Source organism: Homo sapiens, chromosome 19, assembly GCF_000001405.40.
Source record: "Homo sapiens chromosome 19, GRCh38.p14 Primary Assembly".
NCBI lineage: Eukaryota > Metazoa > Chordata > Mammalia > Primates > Hominidae > Homo > Homo sapiens.
In genome coordinates, this window is record NC_000019.10 from 5,664,287 (window position 1) to 5,678,417 (window position 14,131).

Below are 14,131 nucleotides of genomic sequence, written 5' to 3' on the forward strand. Positions count from 1 at the left end.
CTCCTGCCTTCAGTTAGGGAAATTATGCTTTTCATTGGGGGCCTGATGGTCCTCTCTTTGTGAACAAGCCTCTTCTTCCCCTTACGGTTTGATTTAAATTGCCTTTTCAGGAGAGAAGGTTCAAGGTCAATGATGGGAGAACGAGAAGGACAGGTAAGTCTGAAGCTACAGTGGTAGCCACAGAATTTCCCATAGAATGGGTTCTTTTCCCTTCAGCGTGCCTTCTTCCTGCCCTTTCTTTGAGCAAGAGGCAAAATGAGGAAAGAGAAAAGTAAAGCACTAGAAAAGTCTAGGTTTGTGGAATGGAAATTTGGGATTATTTGGGGTTAGTCTTGGCTGTCAGTCCAAACAGTTACTCTGAAGCTGTTTTTAGCCTTGACCCTGGGGTTCTGTGTGCCACACTCACCACACATGTGCAACAGTGCCAGGGAACCTTGGGATGTGACCTGGCTCTGCTGGGAAGTGTCTAGTGAGCCGCACAGCTGACTCAGACAGGTGCATCTGGGGAGGCTGTGGTTGCTGTGTCTGTCCTCGAGTGCCTGCCCTCTTTTGAAAGTAAGGACATCCTTCATCACCCCAGGGCCCAGCTTAGCCTTGGAAAACAACTAGATCTGTGGTCTGTGCTCATTCTCTTCGGGGGCTAGCACATTAGAACAATAAGCTCCATTTTCTCCTTCCATCTTACATTGAGACTGAGACTTCCCAGGAGAGCCTTGGACCTCTAGTGGCTTTCCCTATAAACTTGGGGGCAGCACATTGCTGTGTGGAAGATGCCTCCTCTCTGAGGACTCCACTCATGAGCCCTTCCTCCTCCTGCCAGCATTTTCTGGACTCCACCATAAGCTTCCCGCTTCTGTCCCCCTTGGTTCCTTAATGTGGCTGAGCATAGCCAAGTACTCAGCTCTGTCTCGGGATCCTCAGGAATTCCATCAGCCTCGTGGGGTTCCTTTTTCCCTGCTCCTGGAGGCAAATTATATGCAGCAAAACGTAGAACTAGTCTTGTGGATTTTCTTTGGTGGAGGAGCATACACCAATGGTTCCATGTAAAGGCTCCAGAATCAGAACTGGCGTCACACCTTGGTGTCACCCCTTCCTGCTGAGCCTGTCTCCCCAGGAGTGAAATGAGGGTAATATTCCTCCTACAAAGGGTGCGGTGGTGGGGGTTTACATGAGGTGGGCGCATCTGTACAAACGTGTTTATCATTGCCAGCTACTTTTTTTTTTTTTTAATAGAGACGGGATCTCACTATGTTGCCCAGGCCAGTTTTGAACTCCTGAGCTCAAGTGATCCTCCTACCTCGGCCTCCCAAAGTGCTAGGATTACAGATGTGAGCCAGCACACCTGGCCACCAGCTGCTTTCATGAAGGTGTTAGATATGCTCTCCTAACAGTGGAACGCGGTTTGATCCCTTCTCCTCACATACACAGTCATAAATGAGTCGTCAGAGTTACCCCAAAGGGAAATGGTAACATCTCCCTACAGAGAAAACTAGCACAGAACTTATGGGCCTCATTGAACAGTTACGTGGGTTGGTTGGACAGAAAAATGTTGGTTCAATTTTCAAATACTAAGGAGAGCTTATTTCAGGAGTCCCTTTTCTTACTTTGTTGAGGGGAGGCATCAGAGCACATGCTGGGAGGATAGGCCAGGAAGCAGGCAGTGGTAACGTGGGACATCGTGCACGTGGTGGAGCATGCCGCCATCTCTCCCTTCACCCTGGCAGAGCTCTCCGTTGAACGGGGAGGTGAACTTGGACATGGACAACAACCAGCCTGTGTCAAGGGGGTTTCCTTACCAGGACTCCTTTCTAGTTTCCTTTCACCTACAATGTGGTCATGGGGCAAAAACCCCAGAGACCACATATGTATTGGTGGAAAGAGAAAAAACAGGACTGTGGAGCCAAAGCTACCTCACTAGCTTTTGTGAAAGTCAGGCTGGAAAGTGCTTCCAGCCACAGAAATAGGCTGTGGGTGTAAATATTAACCTTGGCCATCAAATAAGTAGGCATAGAGTGTGACTCGCCCTCTCTTGGTCTTCCCTGAAACAGCAGGGTCAAGAACTCCTGGTCTGTGTTAGCCACGTGGCTTACAAAAACAATGACACAGAAGAGGGAAAGGTGGGACTAGCCAAGTGGAAGGCCAGCCGTTTATCTCTCAGTGTCCTGTGTCTTATATCCTGAGCAGAGCAAGGTGCAAGACCCTGGACTGGGCATCCAGCAGAAACTTCCGAGAAACTTGACTGTGAGGAAGGATGCTTGCCTAGCAATTGGTCGGATGAAGGGCTCCATTTGATACTTCCTTCACTGTGGAAGGAAGAAATTTGTAAAAATTATTTCCAGAATATGCACACATTAAAGGTTTATAAACCTGACCTTTCTTTAGTAGAAGACAGTAAGAGAATACTGTTGGCTCTGGGAACTAACCATTTGAGCTGTGGGACCCAGGGAATCTCTCTTGTAAGCATCATCTTTAGTGGGTGACTCCTGGTGGCCCTCCCAGCTCTGGTGGTGCTGTGGGGACCTGCCTTGGAGATGCCTTGGTACTAGTACCTTTTTTGTACCAGGCCATGAGCCTAGGGCACAGGGCCTCTGGCCTGCAGATTTCAGGAAGGCAGCTGTGTTGTGTGAACCGATACAGCCTGCCAGCACTTCTGTCCCGAGTGACTGTCGTTGTCATCGTTAGCATGTTGCCTGAAAAGCCTTGGGGTCTGGGCGCTGACACTGAAGCTTTTTTTTCCCTTCTGGCTCTGTGATGTCCAGCATTACCCAGAACGCCATGGAGGACCAGAGCGCCACGGCCGGGACTCCCGCGATGGCTGGGGGGGCTATGGCTCTGACAAGAGGATGAGCGAGGGCCGGGGGCTGCCTCCTCCCCCCAGGTTTGTGTCCCACACCCGACAGTACCTGACCCCCCCCCCGCCCACAAGGGGGCCCGCAAGTCGCTGGGATGTGGGCACAGGGTGGGAAACACAGAGGGATTCACTCTCCAGAAGCCGCCACAGTTATTAGCACAAGAGCCAGAGATGGGGGCAATCCAAATCAGAGATGTCTCTCTTTCAAGGGGCAGACGTGACTGGGGGGACCATGGCCGAAGAGAGGATGACCGGTCATGGCAGGGCACGGCCGACGGGGGCATGATGGACAGGGATCACAAGAGGTGGCAAGGTGAGGAGCAGCTCTGGGCTGGGACCAGGATGTGCTGGGGAGTGATGGAAAGATGGAGGCCGCGCCTTCTCTCCTTGGGGGAGCACAGGAGGTGCTCTGCTCTCAGTGCTGGAATGAGGAATGAAGAGCACTCCAGACACCGCCTGCTCTCTGGTGGTCTGGCCCAGGAGTTGGACAGTGGGCGTTCCCGAGTTCTCTCTGCTGGGAGGAAGCTGGACGTCTATGGTCCCTGTGCCCAGGTGTCTTCCTGGGACCCGCTAGTTGTGGGTACCTGGGGGCCTCACCAAAGGGAGTGGAGTGGGCTAAATGTGCCGTGGGTTCCACGCCGTGTGCGCAAGTTCCCTGTGTGAAAGCACGTCTGTCTTCCAGGTGGCGAGAGAAGCATGTCCGGTCACTCCGGGCCTGGCCACATGATGAACCGAGGAGGAATGTCAGGGTAAGGCATGCTGGGGGCGGCGCCCCTTCCCCCTGCTTTGCATATTGGCCTACCTTGCTGGAGGCTTAACAACCAAGTCCTTCCAGCTAGTGCCCCTCCCCCCAAGGGTGACGTGAGGCCAGGCATGGGGTACTGTGGAGGCTGCTGCCACTCAGGAGGGGAGGGCATTAGGAAGGGGCCCTGCCTGCAGGCAACACTCAGGGAAGCTGTGCAGGCTGGGATGGGCCGGGGAGCAGGAGGACTTCGCAGTCAAACCAATGTGAATTTGTTCCTAGGCGCGGCAGCTTTGCCCCAGGCGGGGCCTCCCGGGGCCACCCCATCCCACACGGTGGCATGCAGGGCGGGTTTGGAGGCCAGAGCCGGGGGAGCAGGCCCAGCGATGCCCGCTTCACTCGCCGCTACTGAGTACTTGGAATCCTGTGTCCTGTCTCGTGGCAACAAGGCTATGTTCTGTTAGGAGTTACCTTAAACTGTGTAAAAATATTTTTTTTTAATCTGCTGCCATATTGTAGCTCAATACAATGTGAATTTGTTTTTCGTTTTGGGGTTTTTTTTTTTTGTAATAAATGTGTTTCCGTTCACATACCCTTTATTTAAAGTGTCATTTCTTTATTTCTGCCTCTTTAAATGAAACGAAATTAGACTTTTAGTTGTATTGATATACACTGATTGTTCCTTTTTTTAATTATTATTATTATTTTTTTTTTTTTTTGAGATGGAGTCTCGCTCCGCCACCCAGGCCTGAGAGTGCAGTGGCGCGATCTTGGCTCACTGCAGCCTCCACCTCCAGGGTTCAAGTGATTCTTCTGCCTCAGCCTCCCGAGTAGCTGGGACTACAGGCGCCTGCCACCACACCCGGCTAATTTTTATATTTTTAGTAGAGACGGGGTTTCGCCATATTCGTCAGGCTGGTCTTGAACTCCTGACCTCATGATCTGCCCGCCTTGGCCTCCCAAAGTGGTAGGATTACAGGCGTGAACCACCACGCCAGGCCGACTCTGTTTATTTTTAAATATGTGTGAAACCTCTGGGAAGGCATCCGGGTGTGGAAGAGGCTTTCCAGTGAGACAGTGATTGGTTTTCGCATAATGGGCCTGTGCGGTGCAGGTTTTGCCTGACTTCTCAAGTCACCGAGTTCTCCTTTAATGTTAGCACAGACCGGGCTGCTTTGCTCTTGGGTACTGGGTGGCATCCCTGTCAGGGTGTGGGGGTCTCAAACCCTGTTGATGGACACTGGCGGATGCTTCCCCTGCGGATCACACTCGAACCAAGCCTGCGAAGATTTCCAGCTGCCACTCTCCACACTGACTTGCCAAAGCCCAGGCACCATCATCATGTGGATGCTTCCGCATTACCTTTTTACTCAGAGGACAAACTATTTTCACGGCAGAGTCGGGTGGAAGCAGTGAAGGCTGAAGGTCATCAGCAGCATCTCAGGCCCGAGGCGTGCTTGTGCACAGGCTCAGCCCCCTCGTGCCAGGATGGGGCTCTGACCAGCCCAGGGCTGGCCTCTGTGTCAGCCGGAAGGGACGAGCCCAACGCCAACCCTCCACACACCAGCAGCAAGCTGGAGCCACGGCATCTGGGATCCAGCACCTGTCCTAATCCAGGAAGCCAGGCCAGACTTGGGACATACCTCAAACTGTGAAGCAAGTGCCTCCCCCATTTTGTAAGCCTCACTGTAGTGGAGAGCGGGGAGGAAGCAGTGTCCAGCAGAGAGGAAGACGGCGGAGCCCCAGTAACGCTCTAGGGTCCCTTCAGCTGCAAAGGACAGATGACCCCACCAATACCAGTGGTGGCTTAGATGGTAAAGGGGGGCCCTTTCCTGCCTTAACGGGAAGTTTGTAGGTAGGCAGTTCCCGGGGCTCACTGCAGCCCACCTCAGGCTCTGTTTCTCTGAGGATTTTGGGACTCTCATGGATGATGGATGGCTGAAACAGCTCCAAAAATCCTATCCACCCACAGTGTGGGCATCATCGGGGCTATCCAGCAGGAGAAGGAAGGGCAGGAACGGGGACTTGAACTCACAGGCCTCTTGGCAAACTTACCCCTGAGGCTCCTTAGCCAGAACTCGGTCCTGTGCTCGCCTTTCTTGCAACCCGTCCCTGGCGAAGACGGAATGTTTCTCTTCAGAAGGGATGTGACATCCGGGAAGGAACCCAGTGGTAACCCCCAGCAACCACGTTCTCAGCCTTCCCCTCGTACCTTTTTTTTTTTTTTTAAATTCAAGCTGTTCACATTCTCTGTACTTTTTTTTTTTTTTTGAGACAGAGTCTCCCTCTGTCTCCCAGGCTGGAGAGTGCAGTGGTGCGATCTCAGCTCACTGCAGCCTCTCTCTCCTGGGTTCAAACAATTCTGCTACCTCAGCCTCCTGAGTAGCTGGGACTACAGGCGCCCACCACCATGCCCAGCTAATTTTTGCATTTTTAGTAGAGACGGGTTTTCACCACATTGGGCAGGCTGGTCTCAAGCTCCTGACCTCAGGTGATCTGCCTGCCTTGACCTCCCAAAGTGCTGGGATTACAGGTGTGAGCCACTGCACTCGGCCCCATTTTTTTTTTGAGCCATATGCAGTTGTGCATGCCAGTAATCAATCCCAGCTACTTGGGAGGCCAAGGCAGAAAGATTGCTTAAGGCCAGGAGTTAAAGTCCAGCCTGGACAGTATACCAAGACCCCATTTCTTTGGGTTTTAGGGGGTATTTTTTGAAATAAGAAATGACGGGCTGGGTGCGGTGGCTCCGGCCTGTAATCCCAGCACTTTGGGAGGCCAAGGTGGGTGGATCACCTGAGGTCAGGATTTTGAGACCAGTCTGGCCAACATGGTGAAACACTGGCTCTACTAAAAATACAAAAATTAGCTGGGTGTGGTGGTGCACGCCTCTAGTCCCAGCTACTCAGGAGGCTGAGGCAGGATAATCATTTTAACCCAGGAGGTGGAGGTTGCAGAGCCAAGATCGCACCATCACACACTGCAGCCTGGGCAACAGAGCAAGACTTCGTCTCAAAAAAAAAAAAAAGAAATGAAAGAAAGAAATGACAGATTCCACTAGCAGAGAGAGATGAGGTCTGTGAACATCTGGGGCATGTCCCTACAGACTCTTTTTTTTTTTTTTTTTTTTTTTTTTTTTTTTTTTGAGGCGGAGTCTCGCTCTGTTGCCCAGGCTGGAGTGCAGTGGCGCGATCTCAGCTCACTGCAAGCTCCGCCTCCCAGGTTCACGCCATTCTCCTGCCTCAGCTTCCCAAGTAGCTGGGACTACAGGCACCCGCCACCATGCCCAGCTAAATTTTTGTATTTTTAGTAGAGATGGGGTTTCACCGTATTAGTCAGGATGGTCTCTATCTCCTGACCTCGTGATCCTCCTCCCTCGGCCTCCCAAAGTGCTGGGATTACAGGCATGAGCCACTGCACCTGGCCCAGACTCCCATTTAACTGCTTTACATGGCCTCATACATTCCTCCCAGGTGTCATTATCAGCCCCAGTTAACAGAAGAGAAAACTGAGGGCACAGATTGGACACTGTACCTGTAAGAACCAAATGCCCACAGCAATGATTCTAAACCCTAACTGCATCACCTACATGGACCTACGAATCAGAATCTATGGCAGTTATGGAGTTCTCTAGGGCCGCTGTAACAAATTGCTACAAGCTTTTTGTGTGTGAGAGACAGTCTCCTGTCACCCAGGTTGGAGTGCAGTGGTGCAATCATAGCTCACTGCAGTCTCCATTTCCTGGGCTCAAGCGATCCTCCCACCTCAGCCTGCCCAGTAGCTGGGACTACAGGTGGGTGACACCACACCTGGCTAATTTTTGTATCTTTTGTAGAGATGGGGTTTCATCATGCCCAGGCTGGTCTTGAATTCCTGGGCTCAAGCAGTCCGCCTGCCTTGGCCTCCCAATGTGCTAGGATTCCAGGCACGAGGCAACGCAGGCAGCCCAGTCTCCTAGGCAGGAGAGATGCCTCGGAGTGCTTCTCCCCGGCCACAGTCTTGAGTCATTTGCATGGGATGTTCTACTTCTAATGCCCAGGCAGCACCCTTGCTGTCCTGCTACACAGGGAAGGACGGGGATTCAGCCCTGCTGTCAGCCAGGCACTGAGCTGTACCTGCTCTTCCCCACCATCCTCAATATAACCCCGGGAGGCTGTACAACCCCATTTTGCAGACAGGAAAACTGATGCCTAGCAGGGTGAACTGACGAGTGAGGACAATCAACTGGCAGTGGAAAAGATCCAAGCTTCGAACCACCCATTCATTCAACTCCCATTTCCACAGCCCGCCTCTCAAGCAGGGTCCCCGGCACTGACCAGATGTGTTCACACAACAGACCCAATCAGTGCCTGCCCTCAAGGTGGGCACACGTGCATGTGGTGAGCTTATGAAGTGCAGCTTAGGCCAGGCGCAGTAGCTCACACCTGTAATCCCAGCACGTTGGGAGGCCAAGGCAGGCGGATCACAAGGTCAGGAGTTCGAGACCACCCTGGCCAATATGGTGAAACCCCGCTTCTACTAAAAATAGAAAAAATTAGCCAGGCACAGTGGTGGGCACCTGTAATCCCAGCTACTCAGGAGGCTGAGGCAGGAGAATCGCTTGAACCCGGGAAGCGGAGGTTGCAGTGAGCCGAGATCATGCCACTGCACGCCGGCCTGGGCAACAGAGCAAAACTCCATCTCGAAAAAATAAAAAAGGCCAGGTGCGGTAGCTCACACCTGTAATCCCAGCACTTCAGGAGGCTGAGGCAGGCAGATCACTTGAGGTCAGGAGGTTGAGACCAGCCTGACCAACATGGTAAAACCCCATCTCTACTAAAAATACAAAAATTAGCCAGGAGTGGTGGCCCGCGCCTGTAATCCCAGATACTCAGGAGGCTGAGGCAGGAGAATCGCTTGAACCCAGGAGGTGGAGGTTGCAGTAAGCCAAGATCACGCCATTGCACTCCAGCCTGGGGGAGAAGCGCAAGACTCCATCTCAATAAAAGGAAGTGCAGCTTCATGGTACAGGTTGCCCTGGCCACAGAAGGAATGGAGGCGTTTCCTGGCTGGGGGAACACACTGAAGGCTCTGAGGCCAACAGGAGCAAACTTGTGGGAGAAACTGCCAGAAGGCTGTGGGGGAAGAGGGGAATGGCCACAGGGGACAGCACCATGTATTTTTAACACTCTGGGAGTGAAAAGTCTCTGGCCATGGGCTACTTGGTGGTCTCTTGAGGTTGTTCTATACAGTAAGAGGAGTCTTTTCCCTCCAAATCTGGTCCCCATCCTTACACGTGTCTCCAGGAAGCAGCTGAAGCCCAGGTCCCAGAGGGATAGACCTTGCCCTTAGTTTCAGCACGGCAACGTACATGAGTGTCCACTTCGGCCTGCACCTCAGCCAGGGAAACGTCTTCATTGTTGGCCGTGCCTCTAGTGGCAGCCAGCCCAACAATGCTAGGCTCTCCCCAACAGCAGGCCTTCACTGGCAAGACTCTCTGAACCAAGATGGACCATTGCTTTGTGGGTAAGTGGAGTAGACAAACCAGTCCTCATACATCCATCCACCAGCGCATTCACCCACCCACCCATCCATCCACCCATCTACCCACCCACCCATCCATCTATCCACCCACCTACCTACCCACCCACCCATCCATCCACCCACCTACCCACCCACCCATCCATCCATCCTTCATCTAATCCATTCATCTGTCTACCTACCTAACCACCCACCCAACCACCCATCCGTCCATCCACCTACCCACCTACCCATCCATCTATCCACCCACCCACCCATCCACCCACTCGTCTACCCACCACCCATCCATCCACCCGTCTACCCACCACCCATCCATCCTCCATCTAACCCATGCATCCTCCATCTAACCCATGCATACCTATCCATCCATCCACCCAATCATCCAACCACCCACCCATCCATCCATCCTCCATCTAACCCATGCATCCTCCATCTAACCCATGCATACCTATCCATCCATCCACCCAATCATCCAACCACCCACCCATCCATCCATCCATTCATCCATCCATCCACATACCCATCCATTCATCATCCATCCACTCACCCACCCCATCCATCTACCCCATTCATCCACCTATCTATCCATCCATTCATCCACCCACCCAGTCATCCATCCATCCATCCACCCACCCACCTATCCACCCAATCCACCTACCCACCCATCTACCCCATCATCCATCTACGCACTCACCCATGAATGCATGCATCTACCCATCTAACCACTCATCCCATCCACTCATTAATCCATCAAGCCATTGACTATACTCATCCATTAATTCATCCATGCTTACTAATCATCATCTTTTTATTATTTTTTTCTTTTTTTTTTTTTTCGAGACAGAGTCTCACACTGTCGCCCAGGCTGGAGTGCAGTGGCACGATCTCGGCTCACTGCAACCTCCACCTCCTGGGTTCATGACATTCTCCCGCCCCAGCCTCCCGAGTAGCTGGGACTACAGGTGCCTGCCACCACGCCTGGCTAATTTTATGTATTTTTAGTAGAGACGGGGTTTCACCGTGTTAGCCAGGATGGTCTAGATCTCCTGACCTTGTGATCTGCCCGCCTCGGCCTCCCAAAGTGCTGGGATTACAGGCATGAGCCACCGCGCCCGGCCTCTTCTTATTATTAGTATTATTTAGTTTTGAGATGAAGTTTTACTCTGTCACCCAGGCTGGAGTACAGTGGCACAATCTCGGCTCACTGCAACCTCTGCCTCAAGTGATTCTCCTGCTTCAGCCTCCCCAGTAGCTGGGACTACAGGCGTGTGCCATCACGCCCGGCTAATTTTTGTATTTTTTTTAGTAGAGACGGGGTTCTGCCATGTTGGCCAGGCTGGTCTGGAACTCCTGACCTCAGGTGATCCACCCATCTCGGCCTCTCAAAGTGCTGGGATTACAGGCATGAGCCACTGCGCCCAGCCCATGCTTACTAATCATCTTCCATACCCCAGGCTCTATGCTGGGGTTTGGGAACACGCCTACTATTAACATATGGTCCCTTCCCTCAGGGAGCCTGCATCCTGTTGAGCTAAGTCACACAAACGCAAACTGTGGTGCCCAAGGAGAAGAAAAGGTGCTGAACTGTGCCTCAGAACAGGGGCATGGTGACCCTGCCTGTAGGAGAGGAGTCTGCCAGGATGAGGACGGGAGGGGTCTTACTCTCCTGCAAGGTGAGATGAGGCAGGGTGTGCAGGGACCTGGTGCCCCTGGAATGCAGAGATGGTGTGGGGGTTGAGGCCTGGAAGTTCTCTCCCAGCCTCAGCCTCAGCCTCAGCCTCAAGGAAACCACCCCTCCCCTTGGCCTGCCTCTTCCTTCTTCCAGAGACCACCCCTGGGGATGAAGGACACCAGCCCTCCGGTGGCATCAGTGCCACCAGAGGCCAGCAGAGGGGTCAGAGCACAGGGCTTCCACTGTTGCCTCTGCCATCGCCTGCCTCCAGGTAAGTTCTTGCAGTTTTCTGAGCCTCCGTTTGCTGACCTGTAAAATGAGGCTACTGAGCTGCTCTTAGGATTTCGGGATGAAGGCGCCATCACAGAACTGCATTCCCTCTCCCTCCAGCTCCAAAAACTGAATTCCGCCAAGGCGTAGAGCAGCTCTTAAGCCCAAGTTCACTGGGATCACTACTGAAAGTGACAGGAGGCAGCCAAGTGTCTAGGCAGATAGGGACAGGTCCCAGTGAAACCCCACCTTCAAGCCAAAAATAGCCCAAAAGCTGAAAGACCAGACTGCTGGTCCTGGAGGAAACCCACCACCCAGAGTGAGAACTTCTGTTCCTGTTTGCCCACCCTTTCCTGGTTGATTCTTTCTGAACAATGCCTTTTAACCAGTCGAATGTTGCCCTTTCTGATACTATCTATGGCCTGCCCCTCCCCTATTCTGAGCCTATAAAATCCTACATGTCTACTGACAGCAAACTCATTTCCAGGACCATGTTAGATGGGAAGACGCGTGGCTGTCAGCTGCTTCGGTTGTCACCTTGTCCTTTCAGATTTAATTAAAACTGGCTGCTCAGCACTCAGCCCACACGGGGAGAAGCCAGGTTGCCGCTGGCCCGTATGGCACCGGATGGATGGGGCCAAAGGTGGGCTGAACATGCTCTGGGCTGGTACCATGGAGACCCTGAGCCCAGCATCCCCCCAGTCAGGGTTGGGGACCCTCAGGGCTCACGTTGCTCCTGGTTACCTTGGCTTTATTATTAAGAGACAGGGTCTCACTGTGTCACCCAGGCTGGAGTGCGGTGGTGGAGTCATGGCTCACTGCAGACTCAATGTCCCAGTGATCCTCCTGCCTCAGCCGGGGCTACAGGCACATGCCACCGCACCCAGCTAATCACCTCCATTTCTGCTGCACCCACCATTCCTTGGGATGGCGAGTTAGCACTCACTCCAGGCCAGGGCCGGGCAAAGTGCGCTCAAGGCTGGAGCGGGACCACGGGCAGCTGTGGTGACAGCTGAAAGGAAGGGCAGCCACTCGGTGTCCCCCACGCCCCAGCCCCAGCTGGCCTCCGCCTATGGACTCCCCCTGCTCTCTCTTCTAGCTCTGCCCAGCCCACATCGTGATGGGCTAGCTTTCCCTGGACTCCGTTCCTAGCCCGTCCTGCTTCCAGCTATCGAGTGACCCCAGCTGTCAAATGGCACTGTGCCACATGCCAGCCTTGCCTTGCTCTGTGGTCTTGGCTGTGGGTGTGGTCAGGTGTTTCCCCAGCCCCTTCCCGCCTTCCCAAAGTCACCCCTAGACCTGCCTCAGCCACCTCTGCTTTCTGGAGCTCCACTTCCATGGCCCCCCAACTCCCCTGACCCCAGGCATGTTCTTGCACACAGGTGCCAGTGGATGGGTGAGGACGAACTCATGGGATAAAGCCTGTGACCCCAGGGAAGAACTAAGCCACATTCGTGGAGCTGCAGGACCCGGCCGCCTGGATGGAGGGGAGGGGCCAGAAAGCAGCTGCTCACTGGCCTCGTCCAGTCCTTCCCCTCTAACAGTGACGGTAACAGGTGTGAGGCTGCAGAGGCCTCCTGGAGCGGACGGACGCCCTCTGGCCCAGCCATGGCATCACAGCACCGAGTGCAAACCCCTCCTGTCCTCACAGGCTGGGGCTGGGGCTGGGGCTGGGTGCCTGGGTGCGAGGCGACTAGAAATTCTGCATCCCCTGCGAGGGTTTGTGGTGAACAGCCTGGGCTCCGGACAGGCTGGGCAGACAGAACTGTCTGTCTGTGCAAGTTTCTTCGTCTGTAAAATGGGCCTGCAGTCTGCTCCTTCCTGGGCCTTCGGGAAGGACTTGGTGGACAGTGTCAGGGGACAGTGAGTGCGTGGGTGCTCCGGCGAGCACCGGCTTCCTCCTGCAGCACTGAGGGTCAGTGATGCTCCCCTGCCCTGCTCATCCCTCCCTCACCCTAGACCTGCCCCCACCACTGCTAAGGCCCAGTAAGGACAGGGGCATATCAGATGTGGGGGACCTGTCCCGGGACCACGCTCCTGGGGGGAATGGGGTGGGCAGGCCCTGTGGACTCCCCTTCTACCAGACTAGGCCGCTGCTCCCAGCCACACCCCTCCTACGCCCTGCTCAGGCCAGTGGCTTCTCCTCTCTGAGTGGGACAGTGGGGGAGATGCCCCGGCCTCTAGTCTCTGCTCCTCTCCTCTGTAACAGCTGTCCCCTCCTAAGCTCAGTTCCCTATACCAAGCAACATAAACCCCTGAACTCATGGGAACGGGGACCCTGTCCCAGCTCGGTGAGCATCACCTGTCTGCTCCCTGCTCCCAGGGCAGCATCCTACGGAGGCCTCTGGCCCCACCCAAGCTCCCCACCACCCCCATGTGTCTGGAGCCACCAGACTGGTTTCTGGGCACAGGCCTCTTGCCATCACCCAACCCCGTGGATCGCCCTCTGTGGCTGGGTGCTGGGAGCCTCCCAGGGCTCATGCCTGATGCGGGGGAACCATGCAGGCTGCCAGGTAGCCTGGCCAGTGTGCGGCAGGGGTGTCAGGGAAGGCGTCCCAGGGGAGAGGCAATGTCCGGGAGACCCTCTGAATGGCAACAAACACCTGGATTTCCTTCAATGACCAGGATTCCCCTGCTAGGGTTGTCGGGAGAGGGTGGAATGAGGGTGGAGTCCGGCCAAGGAAGGGCCGGGACAGGACTGCGGACAGGAGCTGAGGAGGGCAGGAACCAGTGGCCCTGGGGGCTCCTGCCCTGTGTCCCGCAGGGAAGCAGACCCCACTTCTATCCACTCTGGCTCTTCCACTGTCCTACCCTGGTCTCAGCCCTCCAAAACCAAGACCCTCCACAACCCAGGCTTGGCCAAAGCACTTTCCTGGCCCCAGAGCACAGCCTCTGGAGCACCGGGAGCAGCCGCTCTGACCTCTGACTCCCCGCACCAGAGCAGACGGCAAAGGGGAGTGCTATGGCCTGTGGTCAAGGTCAAGCCCTGACAAGCCATCAGGAGCCAGAAGCCCAGGCCTCGGTGCTCTGGGCACCACCAGGCCAACCCTGTGCTCCCTGGGGCCAGCACACGGGTCAG

The 14,131-nt window shown here is 54.5% G+C and overlaps 1 protein-coding gene and 1 long non-coding RNA gene across 9 annotated transcripts in view, besides 3 other annotated features; both read left to right on the forward strand.

Annotated features, from left to right (window-relative positions):
* Positions 1-4,192, forward strand: part of SAFB (scaffold attachment factor B) — a 45,396-nt gene extending 41,204 nt beyond the window's left edge. For 5 of the 7 annotated variants that reach the window (NM_001201338.2, NM_001201339.2, NM_001201340.2 and 2 more), the window contains 5 exons: positions 111-153; positions 2,760-2,878; positions 3,061-3,164; positions 3,534-3,600; positions 3,876-4,192. In NM_001201338.2, coding sequence (NP_001188267.1) covers positions 111-153; positions 2,760-2,878; positions 3,061-3,164; positions 3,534-3,600; positions 3,876-4,005 — 463 coding nt within the window. In that variant the 3' untranslated portion in view covers positions 4,006-4,192. The remainder of the gene's footprint in view (positions 1-110; positions 154-2,759; positions 2,879-3,060; positions 3,165-3,533; positions 3,601-3,875) is intronic. The other 2 variants (NM_002967.4, NM_001320572.2) reach the window with 1 other exon arrangement.
* Positions 2,549-3,463: an enhancer, noted in NCBI's record as "H3K27ac-H3K4me1 hESC enhancer chr19:5666846-5667760 (GRCh37/hg19 assembly coordinates)". NCBI's record gives its function as "activates a minimal SCP1, AML or CMV promoter by ChIP-STARR-seq in primed H9 embryonic stem cells {active_cell/tissue: H9 hESC(primed)}" and the evidence as "EXISTENCE:reporter gene assay evidence [ECO:0000049][PMID:30033119]".
* Positions 3,464-4,378: an enhancer, noted in NCBI's record as "H3K27ac-H3K4me1 hESC enhancer chr19:5667761-5668675 (GRCh37/hg19 assembly coordinates)". NCBI's record gives its function as "activates a minimal SCP1, AML or CMV promoter by ChIP-STARR-seq in primed H9 embryonic stem cells {active_cell/tissue: H9 hESC(primed)}" and the evidence as "EXISTENCE:reporter gene assay evidence [ECO:0000049][PMID:30033119]".
* Positions 4,541-5,041: an enhancer, noted in NCBI's record as "H3K4me1 hESC enhancer chr19:5668838-5669338 (GRCh37/hg19 assembly coordinates)". NCBI's record gives its function as "activates a minimal SCP1, AML or CMV promoter by ChIP-STARR-seq in primed H9 embryonic stem cells {active_cell/tissue: H9 hESC(primed)}" and the evidence as "EXISTENCE:reporter gene assay evidence [ECO:0000049][PMID:30033119]".
* On the forward strand, positions 8,522-14,043 carry LOC107985320 (uncharacterized). 2 transcript variants are annotated; one of them, XR_005647045.2, is made up of 4 exons: positions 8,522-9,095; positions 10,622-10,783; positions 10,936-11,053; positions 12,435-14,043. It is a non-coding gene; the product is annotated as an uncharacterized LOC107985320 (long non-coding RNA). The 2 variants fall into 2 exon arrangements; XR_007067107.1 differs by having other exon boundaries at positions 10,622-11,695.
* The last annotated feature ends 88 nt before the right edge of the window (positions 14,044-14,131 follow it).